The 6,015-nt window shown below is 50.8% G+C and overlaps 1 long non-coding RNA gene across 1 annotated transcript, besides 1 other annotated feature; it reads right to left on the minus strand.

Moving 5' to 3' along the window:
- Positions 1 to 2,859: 2,859 nt before the first annotated feature.
- Positions 2,860 to 5,926, minus strand: HDAC11-AS1 (HDAC11 antisense RNA 1). The gene is made up of 2 exons (NR_046690.1): positions 5,516 to 5,926; positions 2,860 to 2,958 (listed from the first exon to the last, which is right to left on the minus strand). It is a non-coding gene; the product is annotated as an HDAC11 antisense RNA 1 (long non-coding RNA).
- Positions 5,535 to 5,594: an enhancer, noted in NCBI's record as "active region_19491". NCBI's record gives its function as "activates an Ori minimal core promoter by ATAC-STARR-seq in GM12878 lymphoblastoid cells {active_cell/tissue: GM12878}" and the evidence as "EXISTENCE:reporter gene assay evidence [ECO:0000049][PMID:35858748]".

Raw genomic sequence — 6,015 nt, forward strand, 5'->3', positions numbered from 1 at the left:
CCTCTGCTCGTGCCTAGCCCTGTGGAAATATTTGCAGTATATTCAGGTACCTCGGGGATCTGCTGGCACATTGTAAGAGCAAAGAAACTGGAAATACGGTAAATACACACCCACGGAAAACACAATCGTACAACAGGGTACAGCACAGCCGTTAGAAAGAAGGAGGCGGATTAGCAGCGTGGATGTGAAAAGATCTGCCGAGATGTGTTTTAGGTGAAAAAAATGGCAAGGTCCAAAACAGTGGGCAGAGTGATTTTCTTTTTATAGGTAAAAAATGCTGGCATGCCAATGTCTTCAGGAAGGAAACAAAGAGACATCGTTTCTGGGGAGAGCGACTGTGATGGAAAAAGTTTTAGTTTTCATTTTATAATCCTTTGGTATGGTTTGAATTTTGCAAACGTGGGCATTCGTTAACTTTATTTTAAAAATACCACTGGGATTATCTGTGTGGCAGCATTACGGGCCATTTTCATCTTTATGCTTTTCTGTATTAAAAAAGAAAACCTTTTAAAATATCCTGCGGTCCAGAAAAATGTGTGTTGGTTCTCTGTGTGCATGTGATGAGGTACTGCTGTCGTCCCAGAGGACTCAAATTAAAGCTCATGCCCTCCCTCTCTGGGCCTCAGTTTCCCCTCCTCAGGAGAAGGCAGCAGGATGAGGTAGGGGTGTGAGTGCAGGGGGGTGTTGCTGGCTCTGAGGTCCAGAGGCTGACTCCTTAGTGAGTGTTGGGCAGCTCCCCCTCCTCCTGCTCATCTTGTCCTGGGGCCGGAGGTGAAGGGTGAGAAAGCTGGAGTGGGGAGCAGGGTTGGCTCCTCTGTAACAACAAAATGCAGGGTCTCAGAAGATGCCTGTGGCTGTAGAAGCAGCTGGGGGAAGCCTAAGATCTAAGCCAGGGCTGCAGGGGCCTCTCTGAAGGTTGGTGCACAGAGGCCTCCCTAGACTGCCCTGAGAGCGCCTGAGGCGCGGAGCATGTGTGCGCATGCATGCCGGTGTCTGTGCGTGTTAGTGTGTGGCTTGAAGAGCCTGGGGTGCCTGTGTTTGTGCTCCCACGTGTATTTGTAGGGTTATCTCTCTGTTTCCTGCGTGCGACAGAAGCTGATTTCTTGTTAAGCTCTGGGGCTCCTCTCTTAGTTGGGCTCCTTCCCAGGTCTCTAGTTTTGTATTCACAGTTTTAATCTTTTTTTTTGAGACAGAGTTTCGCTCTTGTCACCCAGGCTGGAGTGCAATGGCGCGATCTCAGCTCACTGCAACCTCCGCCTCCCAGGTTCAAGCGATTCTCCTGCCTCAGCCTCCTGAGTAGCTGGGATTACAGGCAGCTGCCACCAAACACAGCTAAAATTTTTTTTGTATTTTTAGTAGAGACGGTGTTTCACCATGTTGGCCAGGCTGGTCTTGAACTCCTGACCTCGGGTGATCCACCCACCTTGGCCTCCCAAAGTGCTGGGATTACAGGCATGTGCCACCACACCTGGCCTTTGTTTAAAAAGAACTGTCCCTCCCTCATTGTATGAACATCAGGCCTGACAAACCCTGACTCTGTCCTTGGCATATGTATATCTAGATTCACATCTATATCTGTGCCTTCCTTTCATATCTGTGCTCCAGGAACGTCCCTTTCTGGGGAGGGGACACGGCAGTGAAGACACTCAGTGTTTTGGGGTGTCCCAACTTTATCCTGGGACAATCAGGAAGACGGAGACTAGGAGATTGGCAGGGGTAGCCAGGCATGGGGCTGGGTGTGGCAGCACTCACTATAAGGGTGCATCTCTGTCTGTGCCTGTGTGTGCATCTGAATCTGGCACCGTGGGTGTGTGCCTGTAGCTGTGGGCTGTGTCTCCCTTCATCTGTGCAGCTGAGGTAACACCCCAGAGTGTGTGTGCTGGGTTTGTCATTGGCAATGGTGTGGACTAATGAGTTCCCTTGGGGCCAGTCCTGGTAGTTGGAGCAAATGACTTGTTGCCAGGAGCCTAGAGCAGGGAGTGATGATTTCACCCACCCAGGGTGTCCAGATATCCCAGCTGGTCTCCAGAGGCCCTGCTCAACTCATCTGGTTGAGACCAAGACTGGGGCCTCTCACAGGGGCTCTAGCAGTGCAGTGATTTCTCATCCCCTTGGCCATCACCCGGTCACCAGTTTGGTATAGATGGTAGGCAGAGATAGCCAAGAGTGAGTATCAGGTTTCCATGTTGACAGGATATGTGAGTGTCCCAGGTCAACAAGACCTTTGCAGGCAGTACTGGGGACAGGAGGCAGGGTTATTTTTCAAGCCCGCTCACTCCTGTTACAGAGCTGGCTCACGAGGCTGGAGGAATCTCCAAGGTTGCTCAGAACATCAGTGGTCATTCTCTGCTTACCCCCAACCTGCAGACCCACTCACCAGGGTTTCCCACCCTGCTCGGTGCTCCCCGACGAAGTGGACCCTCATGGATGCCATCACAGAGGATTCCTTGATCTTGGGGTTCCAGTTCGATCCAGCCAATGGGAAGTGCCAGCAGGGCATCAGAGGCTGGGAGAAGAGCTAATTTGGGGTATTTTCCCCATGTACCCCTAGTTTTGGCAGTGACTGTGTGGCCTCAAACCTCCTCTCAGGCTTCCCCGTGGCCCATAACTAGCTATTCTCACTGGTTCCAGGAAACCACTCCCTCTCCTGGACCCTTCAGGTTTAGGGGTGAGAGCTCCCTCCCCTCTGTTGCCAACCCCAGGTGCTGCACCATCTCCTGTTGGTCCCCTCAACCTCACCCACATCTCAGGTAAATGGCCTGTTCATTAAACTTTTTTCAGAAATCCCTGTGGAGTGAGACCTCTCTTTCTTGCTGGGGCCCTCCTGGTGCATAGAGTTACATAGAAATACAACTTATATTTCCTTGAGAAAATATATTTTCTTATTTGAATGCAAGCTCCTTCTGGCCTCCGGGACTTTGAACCTGCAGTATCTTCTGGTTGTTTAAGAACTCATCTCTTCACCAATAAAACAAACAAAACATGTTTTACATATTTAGCTGAGCTTGGCACTCATTAAGGGCATAACAAATACTAGCTAGCATTACTGTTATTGTTACCGTTGTGTTAAATGTGTATGAAATCACAGGGTCTTGGAATGGAAATAGAGGTGCTCACTTGAATTGAAAGGGGCATGGTTTTAATGTTGTAATAGGATGTCTCAATCTAATATTAGTTAGTGTTTTGAAATATTGTATCTGTGCCAATAATTCATGTTTGGTGCATTTCTGTAATATCCTTTGCGTGCCTGTATTTTTCTTTTTTTGTGTGACAGTCTTGCTCTTGTTGCCCAGGCTGGAGCGCAGTAGCGTGATCTCAGCTCACTGCAACTTCCGCCCCTGGATTCAAGCTCCTCCTGCCTTGGCCTCCTGAGTAGCTGGGATTACAGGCACCTGCCACCACACCTGGCTAATTTTTGTACTTTTTAGTAGAGATGGGATTTCGCCATGTTGGCCAGGCTGGTCTTGACCTCCTGACCTCAGGTGATCCGCCCATCTTGGCCTCCCAAAGTGCTGGGATTACAGGCGTGAGCCACCGCGCCCAGCCGTGCCTGTATTTTTCAAAAGAAGTGTTATATTTGGGACTTTCTTATTTGTTTTAAGTTGAAATATATTTCAATATTGCATGAAAGGGGAAAAACAGTTAAGTATACAATGTTCAATAAGTCAGTGTCTTGTTTCATTAAATGCCATTTAAAAATAAAATACATATGGTTAAAAAGTGAAAAAATGTATTTCTTCAAAGGGGCCTTCCCTGACCACTGTCCAAATCAGGGACCCCATTATTCTCTCTCTCACAGTCTCAGCCTATGCCTTTCACAGCAGTTACCACATTTTGTAATCACAATTTTCCTTCCTAGGTTAAGGCTTGTCTCTCCCACTAAACTATTAGCTTGACAAAGGCTTTCTGAACTCATCTGCTCTGTGCAGCTGTGTCCCCAGTGCTGTGTCTTAGTGAGCAGACACACTAGGATACTGCAACAAAGAGGCCCCCAAACACAGCAGCGTGCATAACACTTATTTCTTCCCCACGTGATAATGCGGCCGGTTGGCCCAGGCTTTCATGGTGGTTTGAAGGTGTTCACAAGCTCCAGGGCCTCCGCAGACCACTTAACTCTTTAGCTACCAGGACACAATTTTAAAAACCCTTGGCCAGGCATTGTGACTCATGCCTGTAATCCCAACACTTTGGAAGGCCAAGGTGGGAGGATCGCTTGAGCCCAGGAGTTAGACACCAGCCTTAGCAATATAGTGAGGCTGTGTCTCTTAAAAAATAATTTAAAAATTAAAAAAATTTAAAAACCCACTTATTCAGACCAATCCCACTCTCTTTGGCCTCAGCTTCAGGTCCAGGCTGCCCAGATCCTCATTCTCCCAACCAGAGGATCATCTGTGTGGCTTCCCAAACTACAGAGCAAGTTCCCTGAGGGGAAGTCGGTCTCTCACAAATGCCACAGGGCCACTGCATGCACTCTGTCACTTTATAAAATAGTACTTATTCCTTCTGTGGTTTACATCTGCCCACATCCCTGACCTTTGAGTGAGTTACTTCACCATTCTGTGCCTCAATTTCTTTATCTATAAAATGGGGATGACAATAGTTTGCCTCCTAGGACTGTCAGAAGAGTTCGACAAGCAAAAAGCATTTGGACTTCAACTTAGCACATGACAGATGGTCTCTGAATAATAATCAACATTATTGTCTCTTGATTCCCTGGACTTGCCCATGAAATCCAGAGAATGAAGTGCAACCAGAACTTCATTTTCTTCCTTTTTTTTTTTTTTGAGATGGAGTCTCACTCTTGTCGCCCAGGCTGGATTGCAATGGCGCGGCCTCACCGCAACCTCCCCTCCCCGGTTCAAGCGATTCTCCTGCCCCAGCCTCCCGAGTAGCTGGGATTACAGGCGCCCTTCATCACGCCCAGCTAATTTTTTGTATTTTTAGTAGAGACGGGGTTTCACCATGTTGGTCAGGATGGTCTCGAACTCCTGACCTCAGGTGATTCACCCGCCTCGGCCTCCCAAAGTGCTGGGATTACAGGCGTGAGCCACCGCACCCGGCCCAGTACTTCATTTTCAGATGCAGACATGAAGGACCAGAAGGCTGAAGCAACCTGCCCAAAGCCACTATGCTGGCGGGTGGCCGAGTTTGGGTTTAATCCAGGCCCGAACCTCAGTTCCCTCAAGATAAAGTTGGGGTGATTATGGCACCTTTCTCAGGATTAGGTTGTGAGGCTCAGATGCCATCATGCAATCATGGCAGGCACACGGGGGCCCCTCTTCAAACGTCTGTGCGCTTCCCTTGTGCCCCGCCCTGGCACACAGCCGCCCCCGCGGAGCCCAGGGATCCCAGCCCGGCAGTCCTCCGTCAGCTGCTTCTGTTTGGATGGCGGGGACGGCTGGGCCGACAGAGAGGCCCATTGTCTCCGTCCTCTGGGGCTCTATTGTTGGGGCCTCCTCCTGGGTTGCAGCCCCACGGACAACCCCAGCTGTCGCTTGGGCCTGGCTCAGCTTACCCCGGCGGTGAGGGTGCGGGTCGGGGACGGAGACGCGTGCACCCTGAAGACAGTAACTAGGCCTGCTCTACAGAGGGAAACGCAGGCTCTGAGAGCCTACATGTCTTCGCCGGGAGTGCTTGTCCCGGAGCTGCTCGCAGACTGGGCCGGGGGTGGGCTCGGGTCGGAGAGGTCACGGGGCTCCTTAGGTCACAGGCGGCAGGGCCAGAGAAACTCCCCCGCCCCTACGTTTAACTCGCGGAAACAAGGGCCCAGAGAGCCCAGACGCCAGCCCAAGGTCACACAGCGAAGCCCCGGCACAGCCCGCCGGGAACCTGTCGTTTCTAACCCCCAGCCTCTCGCCGTTTCTACCCAGCTTGGGAAGCGCAGGAACAGGACATACGGTGGTCGCGCCCCTTCCGCGAGGCCGGGGTGAAACCCGCTTGGCCCTCCCGCCAGGGGGCGGAGCTTCCGAACCAGGCGGGATTCCACCGGGTATTTGCCTGCGGAGGCGGGACTTC

The sequence above is a fragment of the Homo sapiens genome, chromosome 3, assembly GCF_000001405.40.
Source record: "Homo sapiens chromosome 3, GRCh38.p14 Primary Assembly".
In the NCBI taxonomy this organism is placed as follows: Eukaryota; Metazoa; Chordata; class Mammalia; order Primates; family Hominidae; genus Homo; species Homo sapiens.